Source organism: Homo sapiens, chromosome 5 (genome assembly GCF_000001405.40).
Source record: "Homo sapiens chromosome 5, GRCh38.p14 Primary Assembly".
Lineage (NCBI taxonomy): Eukaryota > Metazoa > Chordata > Mammalia > Primates > Hominidae > Homo > Homo sapiens.
Window position 1 is genome coordinate 133,738,569 of NC_000005.10, and position 18,118 is coordinate 133,756,686.

Below are 18,118 nucleotides of genomic sequence, written 5' to 3' on the forward strand. Positions count from 1 at the left end.
TGGCTCTCCTTCTGACCCAAAGAACTTCTGTGGCCTCTCTAGGTAGTAACTCAGGCCCTGATGCTGTCTTACGGCTGCCCCTTGCTTGCCACCTCGTTTATCTTGGGGGAGGTAGTACACTTCCCCTAAGAAAGGATCAAGTTTTCAGGTGGGGCTGAGAGATGACGGGAGCAAGTGACCACAACATGGACAGCCAGAAAGACCCCAGAGTTCTAAGCATTGCGTGTAGGAGTCAGGGATGCCATTCTGGGCCCAGAGCTGCTGAAAAATGGAGATTTTACTTCAACAAGGCACCAGAGCCAAGGCTGGGGCCCCACAGACCTAACCCACACTTCCTCCTCATTCCTACTCTCACTCTTTCCATCCAGAACTTTGTAGGGGTCCTTGGTTGGGGGCTGCACAGGTTGCTGCTGTGGGCCTTACTAGGCTGGGGTTTACTGATCAATTGCCTTGAGCCAGTGCCACCCCCTCATGGAAGCAGCTGTGCCCCTCAGAGCCCACAGCTGCCAGGCAACAGGATGGCTACACAGCTGCCTACAAAGCACCTATGATTTTTTTTACTGAGCACCAAATCCAAATTCCTATTAGACTCAACTCTCAATTACACAGAAATACTCTAACCCAGAGGGAGAACCTCAAATAATCACAAACTGCTGATGATCCAAAAACCTGCCACACAGAGCCTAAGAAACCAATGAGGGCTTTGATTTTTCTTTTTCTTTTTTTTTTTTTTTAACACTAAGTGGTTTTGTGATTGAGCAGGCCTTGTGCTGTCATCAAAGTGAGCCCGCCAGGAGGCACCACGTAGGGAGTCGCAGGCGAGGAACAGCTACAAAGGAACCCACTGCCAGCAGAACATCAAGGCTCTGCCCAACTGGGTCTTTGGGAAAATCTGTGTTTATCTCACCCAATCAGAGGGAGAGTCAGATCTGAACTTCACCCACCCTGACAGGAGAATTTCTGAGATGAGTAGAAATCATGCAACTGGGTCTTTCTCCATCATTAAGCCAGCCATCCCACAGCGTAACCTAGGAGCCCGCCTAAATCTTCAAGGGTCCTCAGGAAAGGCCTAGGCCCTCGGAGGAAAAGCTCATGTTTACTGAGCACCAACCACGTCCCAGGCACTGTGCTAAACACGTTGCATACACAATCTCCTTTAATACACGATCTCCTTTAATCTTTACAATAATACCTTCCTTCTGTGGAGAAGGTACAAATTTGCTGCACAAATGAAGAAACTCAGGCTCAGAGAGGTTAAGTAGCCCACCAAAGAGCTCCCAGCTAGTAAGGAGGAGAACTGAGATCATAATGAAACATAAGCTCTGTCTTTTTTTTTTTTTTTTTGACAGTGTCTTGCTTTATCACCCAGACAGGAGTGCAATGGTACAAACACAACTCACTGTGCCCTCAATCTCCCAGGCTCAAGCAATCCCACCACCTCAGCCCTGCAAGTAGCAAGGACCACAAGGGTGCCTGACTAAATTTTGTATTTTTTGTAGAGACAGGGTTTTGCCATGTTGCCCAGGCTGGTCTCAAGAGTCGTGCACTCAAGCAATCTACCCACCTTGGCCTCCCAAAGTGCTGGGATTACAGGCATGCACCACCACACCCAGTCCGAAACATAAGCTCTTAAGTTCTAAGTGATACCCCCTTAGACAGGTGGAAGACAGTTGTTTCAAGTTCCTTACACCTGGGATTGACACATCAAACTCTAAGAGTGGGGCAGGCATTCTCTCCTATAAGCACATGTCTTAAGGCCTGCCCCTGGCCCCACATCTAATCCATAAAGCAATCCAGGCCCATTTTGTTAATCCCTCGATCTTGATATTAAAATACATATGACACTCAAACCCATACCCCCAGCCTGGCCCAGATAGTGTGTGCCAACCCGCCCCCACTCCTCACCGCAGGCCACGTGTTGTTGACCTGCTGATTGAAATAATGCAGTTAGGGGATACAGAAAATCCATTCCACGTGGTGCCATCTGCATTCTCTTCTGACAGCTAATTTGATTGGTGCTCTGTAATCAATAAAGCACTCACGCAGCAGCCAGATCATTCACCTCGATTTTCTCTACACCATTTATAAGAACACTCCCTCTCCTGCATCTGCCAGTGGCCAGGGGCAGGTGGCAAGCCTCTGAAAAGCAAGCTCATGAAATGGTGGAGAATGGACTAAAGGTGTGTTGGTGCTGGATCCACAGGGCCATTTCCTACTTCTGGGTGGCTGTTCTTCTTGGCTGGAAGCAACGGCATCCACCCTGGTAGATGCCAGCCTAGAAGGGTTAGGTAGCCCCGTGCAGGACCATCTGGGCAGAATCTGAATCCTAATCTTTCCTTTTATGGGAGAGTTTGAAGTCAGCCTCTGGATGGATGGATGGATGGATGGATGGATGGATGGATGGATGGATGGGAGGGTGAATGGATGAATGAATTGATGGGCAGGTGGGTATATTGCAAGCATATGAAACACCAAAGGAGAGGAAAAGAGAGCAAGGGTAACCAGGCAAAAAAGAGAATGGGTTGGCATAACTAGAATGAATAGAAGACACCCCCACCAACAACTGCTAATAGGTTTCCAGACACGCCTATGCCGATGACACAATCCTGGTCAACCAAGTGTCTTAAACCATATTCCCGGAAGCAGAACCTAAGGCAGGGATTTGGATTTATGTGATTTACTGAGCAAATATTATCAAGAAAGGGGGATGAAAGAGCAAGATGGGTAGAACAAGGGCATGGTTGCAGCTGGAGTCTGGCTGCAGCCAACTCTGTGGCATGCTCTGAAGCACAAACTGCCCCTCAAGGCCAGCCCCACCTTGAGGAAAGTGGCCTGGCCTTTTGTGCCTTCTTGTTATTCAGTCACTGGCTATGGACTGTCTCCCCATGCAAGAGTGCAGGAAGTGGGAAAACTTTCTCGGCAGAGGGTGATTCCTAGAGAACCGCAGCCTGTGAGCAGCAACCACCCATAGCAGCCAGGGAATGGGAGCGGGGGCAAGAAAAGTGGCCAAGACAAGACCAAGAGCATCCACTACATCACACAATGAACAGCAAGAGCCAGAAAGCCCTAAGAGAACACAGAGGCCTCTCTGCCCAAGTGGGAAACATGAGGCTCAAGGTTGTCACAGTAAAACTCATGTATCCACACTCCCCGCACTGTGCTGTGGCCTGAGGCACTTCCTTTGTCCACAGGCCATGCACTCAAAAGCTAACACAGAATGGCACAAGGAGTCAGTGGGGCCTCTCCCTGCCAGCTCTCATGACCGAGGGCAGTGTAAAACATGGTTTAGGAGATGTTTCTATCCTCAAGAAGACATTCAGCACCAGGCTTCAGAACTCAGATTGGTTTCTCACCACTTTGAAAGACTGCATGACTCTTCACCCACTAGAGGCATCACCTCCCCAGGACAAACAGCCCTCCATCATGAAGGACCAACATTGCATGAACTGGTGCTTGGCCCCACCAGAGGGAAATGCAAACGTGGCATTTAGCCCATATGGCTTTCTTGCATGGGGTCACTACATCAGTGCCATGGACCCCTGCACCCTCTTACCCTTGGCGGGTCCACATGGTGACACAGCAGCTCATTAATTTGAACACAAACATAGTCAATCATCCTGATGGTTGGCCACATGATGCCAAGAAACTAGCAGGGCCGCCCTGTGGAGTATGCTGAGCAGACTGACATGTGGCCAGGTACACCCAGCCACCATCAAAAGTGTCATCTCATGCCCCCAAACCCCAGCTTCCCAAAGCCCTGATGGCATCATTGACACTGGCTAAGCACAGACATTTACAACCACAAGGAAGATGTATACAGAGAGAGAAAAAAATCAATGTCCTTCAAATTAAAAGGGAGGTGATATATAAGGAAACAAAAGCTATTTTCAAGATTGGTGACAGAGACACCTACATAACTGGAGGAAGTGAAAGCTCAGATGTAACTGTCACTGGGCATCCTTTCAGCAGTAACACCAAGTTGGTAATACAGAGCAGTATACTGACGTATGTGGGTACCTGTTATCCCTCAACCATGAAAGGTCCTCAGCTCTCGGAGGGCTGACCCTAAGGAGACAGAGAGGTGGAAAGGACACCGTGGCAAAACCAGATAATAGGCAGAACAAGCTACTGAAAATTAAACTGTTTCCTCCTCTGGAGGCTGAGGAGGTGTGAGGGGGTTAGTGCTTTCATCTGATCCTATGAACTGGAGACCCATGTGGGCTCTGTGGTGTCCCTGAAGGAACAAGGAGCATAGCAGGCTGGGGGTGTTCAGGCAGAGTGCCTGCCTGAATGACAGGAGCGCGCGGTGGAGATCAAAGTCCCCGGACTGCCTGGTGACGTCTTTCAGGCAGATCTACCGTCATCCCGCCGGAAAGTCATCCCCGGGTGTGACTGTTTGTGGCTTTTCAATTCTCTGAGATTAGCAAAGAAAATATTTGAATATTTCTTTCATTTAGGGGAAAAACAAGAGCCTATCAAAGCAATCATCTCTCCTAGGAAGAAATATACCAGGGAAAAAAATTCCTTCTGCCTCTCAGGAGAAAAAAATCTAAGTACAGCTCAGACTCAGGGGGCCCTGGGCTGTTGTTGAAGGTGGGAAAGACCTGAGAGACTGCAGAGTCCAAGCTCTCATTTCGTAAGTGAGGCAGCTGAGACTAGGAGAAGGCAAAGACCCAAGGTCTTAAGGTGTATTAACGACAAGAACAGACCTGGAACCCAGGAATTTGGACAGCATTTCTTGAGAAAAACCTGTAAAAATATTCAAACTGTTTGTCATTGGAAAATCCTCACCTTGCAATATGTATAACATAGTGGTTCTGGTACGGTACCTTTAAATGCATGGATTTGGAGTCACAGACCAGGGGCTGAACTGCTGGTTCTACTGTTTGCTGCCTTTGTGACTCTAGGCAAATCCATTCACTTCTCTGTACCTTGGTTTCTCTACCTGTACGAAAAGATTGATGATGATGGAAGATAACAATTTCAGGGATTTGTGCAAAAACTAAATAATGCAATTCACATGAAGTGATTAACATATTGTCTTCTCTAAGATCTAATGGTAAATTCTCAAATAAATGGTAGCCACTGCTATTTAGGAACCTAAGCTCTTTTCATTATAATTATCTGTAAACAAGATACTAGCAGGCAAAGCTATGGGTAAACTCAGCCATGTCTTTTTTGTGATGAATATTCATTGCCTGCCTTTCTGAATCTAACCCGCTTTAACAGCTCCTGATTTCCATTTGGTTCCCATACCCCAAAGATGGAGCTTACGAGCTCCTTCTGTCCACCAGCAATTGGTTCAGGAATAGTCAGGTGACCCCAGCCAGTCCAGTCAAAGTGAATCTCAGGGACTGCTGGGAAAATTGAGATATAAATGTTTCTACTCCCTGCCAGACATAGAGGAAGAAGCCCACGGCCCTAGGAGTGGCTGGCAGCCAGCGGAGGCCCATCTAGGAAAGAAACTGTCTTTGGTGACATCATTCAGTTCCTGGATCAGTCCTCACCTGAACTTACATCTGGACTTTTTTATTCACTGAACCAGCACATTTCCTTCATGCTTTAAAGCCAGTTTGATTGGGAGGAGGGAGGGGAGTCACCTGCAACCCAAAGATTCATAACCATCATGATGATCTTAAATGCCAAAGCCACATCTTCCCCTTTTCTAAGTTGGAACTTCTGTAAGCACCGTTGAAACTACTGTGTTTATTAAAAACAAGCCTCATGGAATCCACTCGTTCCTCTAAGACCCCAGTCAGGACCATGATTCTGTGGTTTCTAGTCCTTGCGTCAGGGATGAGCCCAGCTCCTGCTGTGTGATAAGCGCCCCATGTAATCCAGGCTCTGTGATTCCGTAGCCCACAGCCCCCGCTGTGCCGCATGGTGCTGCAGACAAGGCTGTCACTAGGCACCACGACATCCCTTTGTAGGTCCTGCCCTGGTACAGAGTGTGTGGGCGATGACACCATTGAGCAGAGGCAGCTGTGACTAAACTCATCTCTTTGCTCCGGTGGAAATCAAAGCTCTGTCTGCTCACCCTTCTTCCCTGGAAGCATAATATTACACCACCCAGGACAAAAAGCCATATCATCAGCTTTACACATTTTCCTCCATCTGTATCCCCCTTTCTGCCATTCAGGTTGAATGCAAGCAGGCATGCACCGGACTAAGATGCACCCTTCCTGCTCACTGAAGTGTCGGTGGGACGTGGGAACTCGGAACAATTTCCTTAGAGTATTTTAAAGATTCCACTTGGGTTTCCATGGTGATTTTACAGAGCCAACACTCAGCAAGTGTTTGCTGGATTGAATGTATTGAAAAGTAAAGTGAATTGGATACTCCCATACCTGGTCTGCATCACCATAGAAAACTACCTGGTCCATCAAAGGGACAGGCTGGGAGTTGGAGGCAAGGAACTGCTATCAGCCATGGGATCAAGGCTGTTTGTTTTCAGGAATGAGGAGCCGGATCTGGCCTTCTTCCCGTCTGTGCCAGGAAGATGACATCCTGTCAGAAACCAAGGGTGCTTATTTTAGAAACAAAAACCTATTTTTAAAAAGAGACACTCACTGCTAGCCCATCCTGCCATGAGCAGAAAGGTTTCCAGAGTGAGGGCACTTGCTCCTCAGCACAGGCAAAGCCCTTTCAATGGAAATACGCCAAGGGCCTTCTATGGACCCAGCTTCCCTTCCCACTGGATGATCCTCAAGCTTTGCCTTTATTGGAAAATGTTTTAGACCCAGATTAGAATTTAACAGGCAAAACAGCTGAATAAGGGCAAAAGTGAAAAGCCACCAGCTCTAGCAGGGAATCAATAGCACATAATTCAATAAGCACATAAGAAGTCAGCCACAGAAGCTGCTGGTGGGGGGTAGAGGGCTGTGTAAAATTTATAAATCCACACATAGTGTATATATAGATTAATGTTCTTTTAGCCAGAGACCCAAATAGACACAAATGTTGCCTTCCCTAAGCGGGCCAAGTATAGCAGGTGGGCTGAATTGCAAATGAACTAGATCCTTGGCAGAAAAGTGGAATTATACAGGGATTCCAGGTTGCCCTTTGACCTCTTGGCCTCATCAGACTCATTCATAAAAACTTTGCCCAGGGCCAGAGCTGCCTGGTAGATTCATCCACAAACCAACTTCCATTCCATTTGCTAAAACTGCCACTTGTCAGCTTTGTTAAAACTACGAACTGTCATTTTGTCAATAGGTACAGCCCATTTCTGAGGTTAGATCGATTCCAGAACAAAGTTTTGAGTGACAACATTACCCCTGCAGGGGTTCCAGGAGCTTTTGCTTTTGCGTCCCCCTCACGTTAATGACAAACAAGTTCCCCGTGATGGATATACCTGCAATTAATATTGAAGGGACAGTTAATGATTTCAAGGCACCACGATACAGGCCTCATATTTCAAATTTAAAACTCTCCTTTCAAAGAAGGACTCATTTTCAAAGCCTAGAAATGAATGCTAATAAATTAGGCAAAACAAGTTTTTTAACGCCTGAGAAAATAAAACAAAGAAAATTAATATTAAGGACTCCACTCAGTTGAGACAGCCCTATTATCCTTGAAAACCTCACAATGAGGCTTTGTCCTAGAGGATGTCTTGTCACCATGTTTCAAAAGATTTGAGATCTGCAAATCATGGATTCAAAAGCAAACAATATATTACTCTGAAGATCACATCAGTTAGCAAGCACACTTTAGTACGTGTGTGATTCTCTTTCTCTTTTTTAGCCTAGTGGAGATTATAAACAAAAGTTCATGAAACTACGTGGTCCTGTCCTTCTCTCAGATGGGCATGAGCAGACAGCTATTTCTACATTTCTTAGGAAGGAAAACTGAAAACTTACAAAGCAAAAAAAAATGTACTTTATATCTGAATCATGTAAATCAGTTTGTCTTCCGAATCTGGAAAAGTGCTTTCCAGAAATAGTGAGCAGAAAGGTTTCCAGAGTGAGGGGACTCACTCTGGATAGAAAAAATAATTTTTTCTCAGACAGAAAAAATAATTTCTGGCTCAGAAAGCCAGACAAACTGCTCACAATGACCAAATGAAACACCAATTACAAGCTAAATGAACAAGAACCAGAATAGACAGAAACTGGTATTGCAAAAAAGACATTGCCACTATACAAAAAAAGCGATTCCATTTTCACCAAGAAAGCAAAGAGAAACTGGAAAGACATTTAGGTCTATCCTAATTGTCTAAATGTTTTTGCCTAAAACAGCAAATCTAACCATTGAAAATAACAGTAGCCAATCATTGCCCACTGCTAAACTGCCTGGTTTAGCTCTGAGAATACCGGGCAGATGAGAGAATACTCATTCAGGATATTTATCCAGAGGGATGAAGTAACAAGCATACTTAAGTATGCTTGCTAACTGGCCCAGGCATCCTGACGGGCTTGGAGGAAATGCCCCCAATGACTCCTCCTGGCCACCAGGGGCACTGTGAGGGGAGATGAGAAGCTTCTCTTCGGCCATAGAGCACCCAGCCTAGAGGCCATGGCTGATGGCCTCATGCCACCCCGCCTGTTGTTTCTATTGCTGTAAGGTGGACTTTCTCCTGCAGGCCTACTTTGGTGCCTGGGACCTCCTGCCCTTTGCAGCAGTGGGTACAGTGAAGGCAGGGCTGAGAAACCAAGGGCACAGGGGCAGATCAATGCACTAAATTTGCCAAGGAAATTATTCTTAATTAAAAAATTTAAGTTTTCCTTCCTAACTTCAGCTAGCTTTGGCAGGCCTGTGGAAGCTAAAGTACTACCCCAGCGAACCCAAATCCAGTGATTCTATCAGAGCTGTGGCACCCGGTAATTTAGTGACCCTTTATTGAAATGCTAATCAATCCTGATGGCAAATCCCATAACCCAAAGTAAGAACTGTTAGTAGCAACCTCTCATTGTACAGAGACCTCGGGTTCTCCCAGATTCAATGCTCACAAAAAATTGGCTCAGCCTACCCACCCCAGCTAGAAGTATGAATCCAACATGAGGCTCCCAAAGTCTATTATTGCCAATTAAAAAAACAGGTTAAGAGAGTATGTAAACCAAACTAGATTATGTAATCAGGCTCTAATAAGATCAGCGATTAGAGAATGAATCTGGGTTAATTTTCTTTTTATTTTATTAGCACCTAAAGAGCTGCTGGGAAACTTCTCTGTGTCCTTGGTTGTCTCCTCCCTCTTCTCCCTATCTTCTGACCTCACCTACGTCCTGAGGGCAGCTGGGAGTGGGGCTGGTGTTGGACTGGCTCTGGAGGATGGTTTTAGACAGTGATCCGGTGGGTGATGGGTGGGGATCAAATGGCTGATATACTCAGTTTTGAAAACCCAAACCCAGGCTGGGAACAGTGGCTCACGCCTGTAATCCTAGCACTGTGGGAGGCTGAGGCAGGCAGATCACAAGGTCAAGAGATCGAGACCATCCTGGCCAACATGGTGAAACCCTGTCTCTACTAAAATACAAACATCAGCTGGGCGTGGTGGCACGTGCCTGTAGTCCCAGCTACTCGAGAGGCTGAGGCAGGAGAATCGCTTGAACCCAGGAGGCAGAGGTTGCAGTGAGCCGAGATCATGCCACTGCACTCCAGCCTGGCGACAGAACGAGACTCCGTCTCAAAAAAAGAAGAAGAAAAAAAAAAAGCCCAAACCCTTCTTCAACCAACTGCTCCCTGCCCTTGTGAAGTCGCTGGGAGGAATTTAAGCATAGAGAGGCCAGGTGTGGTGGCTCACATCTGTAATCCCAGCACTTTGGGAGGCCAAGGCAGGTGGATTACTTGAGGTCAGGAGTTCAAGACCAGCCTGGCTAACATGGTGAAACCCTATCTCTACTAAAAATACAAAAAATTAGCTGGGCTTGGTGGTGTATCCCTGTAATCCCAGCTACTCTGGAGGCTGAGGCAGGAGAATTGCATGAACCTGGGAGGCAGAGGTTGCAGTAAGCCGAGATGGTGCCACTGCACTCCGGCCTGGGTGACAGAGCGAGACTCCATCTCACACACACACACACAAAATAAGACAAAAGAGAGTTCCTTAATTGCTAACTGGTGATTTGCAACCCCTCCCCACAACCTGCTCAGGGAGCTGGGCAGACTGGCTAGATTGGGAGGTTTTTGCTCTCGGCTGGAGGCAGCAGAGTCAGCCCTGAAGTGTTTCTTCTGAAATACAGGCACACTCCACATCGTGACTTGACCCAGTCAGGCCTTCCTAAGGTGGGGGCAGCAGCCCCAACCCCTTCTACTCAAGCATTTGGAAGGGAAGAGAAGGCAGAAAGAGAGAGAGAGCGTTGAGAATAGAAGCGAGAGAATTCCAAGAGCAGCTCTCTCATAACAGTCAGGGCCAGAGACACAAAGCCCAGAGATGCAAACCTAGGGGGATTTGGGTAAAGAGCAGATGCATGAAACTATGAACATATACCCACCCTCTCAAGGATAGGACAATTGGTGCCTCGGGCAGGAGGACATGCAGGTCAGAGGCAGAGGAAGCTCTCTGGGAGTGGGTTGGTTGTGGGTAGATAATAGGTTAGAAGAGTTGATCTTAACCAGTTAGTGCTCAGACAGAAGCCACTGACTGGGCTTTGAATCCCTTAAGGAATGCAGTGATGAATGAACATCAGAGAAGTGGCACTGGGAACCGGGGACAGGGGTACAGTTTAGGGAAGTAGCAAATGAGAAGCCAAAGTGGATGGAGTTAAGGCATGGGTACACTTTCTTGGAGGGATTCAGAAAGCATAGACTTCTGAGTGACCAGGCTTCACTCTGAGACCAGCCTGAGGGTTTCCAGCCAGTGCCACCAACCAGCCTATTATTTTGTATGAATCAGAAAATATGATGCCCCTAGGCAGATACAGCCCCAAGGGCACACAGTTGCTATTGCAGTGAAGACTGGATTTCAGCCATTTGCTCCCGCAGCTGAACCCCTTTGGGCAGTGCACAACCTGTTCAAGAGTCCAGCTGTTCAGTGAAATAACAGCCATGGGCTGAAAGCAAGAACCAAGGCCCACACACATGTTGCTGACACCTAATAACATGTTCACATTTTGCCCTTTCCAAAGCCTCCCACACCCTTATCTCCTATGGAAGGGATAAAGCAGGGATTACTGGCCTGTTTCACTGAAGAGGGGACAGAGCTGGAACCAGCCTTGTAGCATGTATCTGGCAGTCAAGCTCTTCCCTCCCACGATCACTGCCACCCTTCTCAGTCCTGTTGTGAGGTGGAGGTGTCAGAAATAAAAGCATCGCATCATCACTGAATCACCCTGAGCCTTAGAAATGACTTGAGTAGGGTTTAGGGCAGAAATGTTTAAGCCAGGTATTATAACAGCTCAAGTGACATTGTGAAAATCTCATAAGAAAATTTTTTTAATCCACTTCCTTCTTAAGTTAAATGTGTTCTGCAGAGGGGAACAGGCCACAGAATCCTCTTCTCTCCAGGGGGCTCCCAATCCAGATCTGTAGGAATTCACTCCACCATGGTGTGAGCTGACTAAAGGTTAATGGGAGGGGTGAGCTGGGGATGGGAGATGGATAAAATCATATTTTGAGCCAAAAAACAAGTCAGAGTTAGGTGACCTTTTCACAAAGTGGCACCAAGAGAGGACAATACTGGAAGGTGCAGGACCCAGAGGGACCCTAAGACATCATTTTTCTGGTAGGCAACCTGACCTACTATCTACGAAATCCAGGGCAAGTGCTTGCTCCATGAAGTAATTATTCAAAAAAGCCCAAAGCAGTGGTGAATTAAAGCAAAATGTTGGCAGAAGGTGCTTTTTGGAGAATCACTGCACACTTTCTGTGCCCATTTCCTCACTGCCCTGGCCTCTGAGGACATCTGCCATTTATGAAACAAAGAGATGTTCTGACTCCCAGCTTCCCTCCCTCCCATCACAGCCCAGGCCCCCCAGGGTGTGGCCCCAAAAGTGACAACCAGAGGATTGGGACCAGCAGGAGCATCACTGTGGGTGAGGGCAGACGTGCCTCTGAATCACAGGCTCGGGTCAGGGCCCGTGAGGAGAGAGGAGCGCGAGGGAAAACAAGTCCCTAGAGTGGGTACGAGAAGCCCACCTCCAGGGGCCCAAAGGAGCCCAGCCACCTCCCTGTCCCGGCTCCTAACATGGCCATTGGCCTTAGGGATTCGTCTACTAAAACACCCCCAGATGTGGGATCCACTGCCGGGCACAGGGTGGGCCTCAATAATGGTCACCCCTATGATTAGTCCTGGAAGCTCTCCCTCCATGGCTGCAGGGCTGGGGCACAAAACACCCCTGCCCTCTGCCTGCCACACGTGACCACTGATCTATGCTGACCAAGGTCAGAAGTCTACAGCCCTGAGAACGCATCCCTCCCTCTGCCCACTGAGCAGCCTCCCCCACCCAGTACTCCAGTGGGCCACTCTGCACTTCCACTGCAGAAAATAATTTGGATGTCTTCACCCTCCCTGTCCCCCCAGCTTGACTCTTATCAAGGCCCTCCCATCCTTCGCCACCCTACGTGCACCCCACCCACCTCTGCATGAAGCTTCTTCTGACCCAGCTCCCTCTCCCCCCAGCCCTCAGGGTTCTCCCCTACTCAGAAGCCCTACCTGCCAGTCATGCCTGTCCCAAAGGCCCCCAAGCAAGAGTTCTCACTCCATGCTTCTTCGACTCCAAGAAGACCCCAGGAAACAGGACACAGGCCCTTGCTTCTCACTGAGAGTTTGGCAGGCCTTTCGGGCTAAGAACAAGACATTCTGGAAGAAAATGTCACAGAAGGCAGTGCACGTTCATCAAAGTCAATACACAGTGTATTTCAGCACCATTTGTCATTCCAGTGGCCTAGTTATCAACTTCCCATCTTGTAAATATATTCCTCTGGAAGTAAGAACTGTTTCTTTTTGTTATCTAAGGAAATTGTGAAATACTAGTGTTCAATGGAAGAGTTGTCAAATCTGGCTTTGGAGTGCCCCATATAGCAGGAATTAAATGTTTTCTTCATCTAGCCATATTGAACAGCCAAGATTGCCATGGCCAGTCATTAGAGAGACAGATGCTCCCACGATCGGTGGGGCGTCTGCAGCAAGAGGCGCAAATTCCGGTAGCAGATGGAGGGGGAGGGAGCACGGATAATCAAAAACAAACTGGAATTATTGACTGTCTGAGAGGTGTCGGGCAAAATAGACTGCACCTAGAATAAATAGTCTTTTTACAAAATGCTTTTGGGAGGTGCAACAGCAATTTCTTCTTTCTCTGCCCAAAGCTGTCTGCCAGAGGGGCACAGACCAACTGTTTCTGATGAAGGCTTTTTGGAGTCATGGGTGGGTTTTGGATCTTTATCTTACTGAGTCTGATAAATCAGTTGCTAATGGATCAGACAAAGGAAGACTCACTGGCAGGTCAGCAACATCATCCCTTCTCCACCGTCTCTGCTGCTAATGGAAGCTGGATGGCAAAGGCTGCCAGAACGCTGGCAGGAATCGTGCAAGCCCCGCCCTTCCAGGCACACTGGAGATGCTGTCCACCTGAGATGCTAAGCCATAGAAGGTGCTGAAAGGGCAACCAAAAACCTAGACAGGCGAAGGGATTGGGCCTGCCTTTGCCCAACCTGCTCAAAACACTCTGTCAGGACTGGATCCTTGGTTGTGGGCCTCATTTTGGGTAGAATCTTAAAAACCAAAGGAGTTATCTATCTCCAGCTTCAAAGAGCGAAGTCAGCAGCTTATGATTAAGCCAGCACTATGGGCCCCTGGCTCAGACCCCTGGGAGTGAGAGAGAGGGCAGCAAAGGCAACGGGCACTATGGCTGAGCCTATAGGTTTTCCCAGTAACTGCCTGGCCACAATCCCCCTCTCATAAGGTCAGGAGTTTGAGACCAGCCTGGCCAACATGGTGAAACCCCGTCTCTACTAAAAATACAAAAGCTAGCCAGTTGTGGTGGCGGGTGCCTGTAATCTCAGCCACTTGGGAGGCTGAGAATCACTTGAACCCGGGAGGCAGAGGTTGCAGTGATCTAAGATTGCGCCACTGTACTCCAGCCTAGGCGACAGAGCGAGGCTCTGTCTCAAATAAAATAAAATAAAATTAAATTAAATTAAATTAAATTAAAGGGCTTCCTTTCCTAGCATTCGTGGAAAATAACTGAGATGTGGAATTCTGAAAGTCCTCTTCCACTGCCTATATAACAGTGATCATTTGTCACTGTGCAGGGGTCATAGGGGGCAGGGGGGTCAAGGGTCAGTGCTGCCAGCACAGACACCCCAGAATCTCACACAGAGAAAAGCTACCACAGCCTGTTACTGGTCGACCAGCTCTCTCCCCTTCTAATGAGGTCAAGTTGCAGTTATTTTCTTGCGCTCTGAGCCCCACACTTTCTTTCTTCATGTGAATGTGGATTTTCAAGAAAGAAAAGAAAAAACAAGACCTCTTTGTGATTCTCATACTATTTTGATTCTAAGTATAATGGTTGTTATGAAATAACCCCTTTAAAAGAAAACTACACCACAATGAACCAGCTACCCTTATATAATCAGAAAATGTAAATATGTTATAACAACAAAAAGAAAAAGTCTTTTTGTGGTCAAGACCAAAGTTACCTGTATGCATTATTCACAATAAAGGCAAACCAGACTTGCTCCCAGGCCCACAAACTGAAGGGGCAGCCTTCTCCTCTGCTCCCTGCTCTGCATCTTGCAAACAGGGAAATGAGATCTGGAGGGTTCTTTTGGCTCCTTATAACCAGAAAATGAAAATTGGACCCTGCTGAGAGTCACAAAAGCCCCAGATGGGCATGTGTCCACTGGCAGGCATGGTTACTTCTACTCAGTGACTTAACAGCCCTCATCACTGATGCTTGTTCTCCCAACTCCTCTGAAATAAGGGAGGGTGGGACCCAGGAGTCCCTAATCTCAGGTGGCTCACATTGCCTGGTTCCCCCATCAAATTGGCCACTCGATGAGCTGGAGAAGATTCACAGACACTTATATGGGAAACTGAGCTAAGCCAGGTGGTAACTCTCACTAGGGGCTGGCCAGGGGACTGGACACATGGTTCCAGCCAGCTGTACCACTCAATAACTATTTGACCCTGCCTGGACTTATCCCTTCTCTCCCCTGGGCCTTTGTGGGTCCACATTTGTTCTGTGTGTGTGTGTGTGTGTGTGTGTGTGTGTGTGTGTGTGTGTGTAGTGGCAGGGAAGGTCTGGCCCAGACATTCTGTGACCATAACCAACTCTCCCCATTCCTGCATAGCATCAGGTAGTGAGTGGCTGTCTGGGCACACCAATACAGTGAACCATAGTGCAGCCCAGTGTTTAAACTATGGACTTTAAATGCAGATAAGCCTAGGTTCAAGTCCCAGTTATGCCCCTTAACTTCTCTAAGCTGCAGTTTCAGCCTCTATAAAATAGGATAAAAAAGGAGATTGCAATAAGAAAATGGCTGTGAGTGTTAGCATAATGACTAATAGTGGGGAACCCAGGCAGGAAGCTCTGCTGTACCATTCGTGCCCTGAGGATATCCCAGCCCCATGTTCCGCCAACAGTGGAGACAACTTATACACAGCATACAAAGTAATCAGAGTCAGACAAGAGAATTTGACTTACAATTCAATCATCCAACTCTAGACAAGAGAGCAAACCGGAACCACCTCAGGGAGCCTAGTCTTCATTTTGTAATAAGTTAGTGAAGAAAATAAATACAAACTATCAATTTTTATCCTAGTCATAATGAAGTTTATTAGAAGGTATAATTGCTATGAAATAGAACTGACAATGATTAAAATTCCACACTGCACACTTTGTTAGAGCTAAAAGATATATATATATAAAAAGATCAAAATGTCCTAATAAAATTTAGATCTGCAAATATTTGTCCACGTAAATTGGATTTGAAAGAAACAATGGCCACACAAAAATTCACAATGGCAGAAGTTATAATGGATAGTTTGATAGATGTATTCAATCCTCCCTGTATAGTTTACACAAAACAGAATTAAATTCTTTGAAATAATTTTAGTAAAATTAGTATTACAAATAAGTTTACTAGACAGGATAGAAAACTGATGAAGGAATTAAACTAGTTTAATGAGGCTCACCTCAGAAAACCCACTATGTCTGCATTCATAAACACCAAGCCCAAGAGACCATGGTCAAAATACCTGTCAGGTCCACGCTCTGGGGACAAAATGCCCAGTGCTCACTAGAGGGCAGTATCCTGAGCCCAGTGGAGCTCAGACGTGTGAAGACAACATGTTGATTCTGCTCTAACTCTAGAGCCTACCGTTTAAGACAGACATTCCTGGACACCATCCACCTTTCCAGCCATCCCTCCCACCTTCCCCCACACCCTGAAGTCAAACTGGATTATTTTAGCCTGGGTTCCTTCGTGTACATTATCCCCTCTGTCTGGCAGGTCTTCCCATACCCCACTTCCCACCCTTCCTTCAAGACCCAGCTCTTGCTCCTCCTCCTCATTGCCTCCCACATGGCCTCCATCCCCCTGCAAGCCAGACCTCACCCTTCCTCATAGGCTCCTCCTGCCAAAGTCACCAATGACCTCTTCGTTGCCAACTCCATGGAAACTCTCAGATTTCCTTCTCTACCCATCACTCCCTCCTTCTGGCAACCATTTCTTTCTAAGTTTCCATGACCCCTTGGGCAATGCAGTTCCTTTTGGCCAAGGGCAATTCCTAGAAAGGGATGCAGCTGTGAGCTGTTATCAACCTACACCCAGGATAGCACTCTCACTCTGTCCCAGTTGCCTGGAAATATCATTTTTATTCTCTCTAAACATTCTGATGACCAAGAGCTGGTCCCGGGACAATAAAAGCAGCAATGAACCTGCCCCTCCACCTGCTATAGACAGGATACCACCATTATCCTTCCTCCACCAGCTCTCTTGGCTCAGAAATGGCCCTAAACCCAAAGCAGTAAAACTCAAGCACCTCTTCCATCAGACCCTCACATCCTCTCCTCCCCCTGCCCACCACCTCTCACACATACTCTAGACCTCACCCACATTTCAGCATACCTCAAATCTTGGCATAAATGTGCACTCCCCTTTTTCTGCCTGATGGGCTTCTACTTGCATCTTCAAAATCCAGCCCCAGCATCACTACCCAAAGCACCCTTCTCCATGTAGATCATAGCCAGCTCTCTGCTTTACAGGAGGACTGTTTCTTAGCACTGGGAGCTGAGACTCACCTTCCACAATGCTTTGGACTCCAAGGGGAGCACCTGGCGGGTATAAGCATAAAACAACCCTGTTCTTTCTCACAACTGTCTCTCTTCATCAAACTGTGTTCAGCCCATCTTCTCTTCCCAGGGAGAAAATCTCTGGCAAATTTCACAGCTGTTTGGTCACTGTCATTTATCCATTTCACAAATATTACTGAATGCCTACTATGTCCCAGGTTGCAGCAACACACAATGAACAAAACAAGAAGCAAAATGCAACACAACAGAAACAAACTTCTTGCCTTCACAGAGCTTACATTCTAGTGGAATACACAGGCAGTAAGCAATACAGTGCAGAGCATGTTAAGTAGGGAGGAGGCAGCTGGCAAGAGCGGGCTTATAATTTTAGTCAGGCTGAGAAAGTGGTGTTTGGGAGGAGACTCTAGGAGGAGAGGAAGGGAGATGCACAGACACCTCAGGCAAGGCATTTCGGGCAGGAGGAAGAGCAGGCACAATGTCCTGGGATGGGATGTGCCAGGACACCAGGGAACCTGGGTGGCAGGAGTGAGGTGGAGGGGACAGTAGCAGAAGATGCAGAAGGGGTCTGCAGGTCCAGTTCACATGGAGCCGTGCCATCATAGGACTGTGGCTTTTACTCTGTGTGGCAGAAAAGCCACTGGGGATTCCAAGCAGAAGAGGGACCTGATTTGACCCACATATTAAGGGGTTCAATCTGGCTGCTAGTTGAGAAGGATCATAGGGTAATAAGTGCATAGCCTTTTGGTCAGAGTTTTAAAGCTCTAAATTCCACCAGTTTAAGGTTTCCTTCCCCCAGTTCCAGCCCACCACGGGAAGAGGGGTTGTCAGGGGCTTCTGCATACCCCACCTTGGTCTTCACTTCTTCTCACACCCACTGAGTGCACCTGGCCCTCCGGCATGGAGGTGGGGGAGGAGGGTGCGGGATAGAG

At 47.3% G+C, this 18,118-nt stretch overlaps 1 protein-coding gene across 1 annotated transcript in view, besides 1 other annotated feature; it reads right to left on the minus strand.

Annotated features, from left to right (window-relative positions):
* The window catches only part of FSTL4 (follistatin like 4), a 645,613-nt gene that overhangs the window by 542,114 nt on the left and 85,381 nt on the right, over positions 1 to 18,118 (minus strand). The gene's annotated exons all lie outside the window — the stretch shown is intronic.
* Positions 3,929 to 5,128: an enhancer, noted in NCBI's record as "BRD4-independent group 4 enhancer chr5:133078188-133079387 (GRCh37/hg19 assembly coordinates)". NCBI's record gives its function as "activates an origin of replication core promoter dependent on BRD2, P300/CBP, MED14 and CDK7 cofactors, and independent of BRD4, by STARR-seq in HCT116 cells {active_cell/tissue: HCT116}" and the evidence as "EXISTENCE:reporter gene assay evidence [ECO:0000049][PMID:35650434]".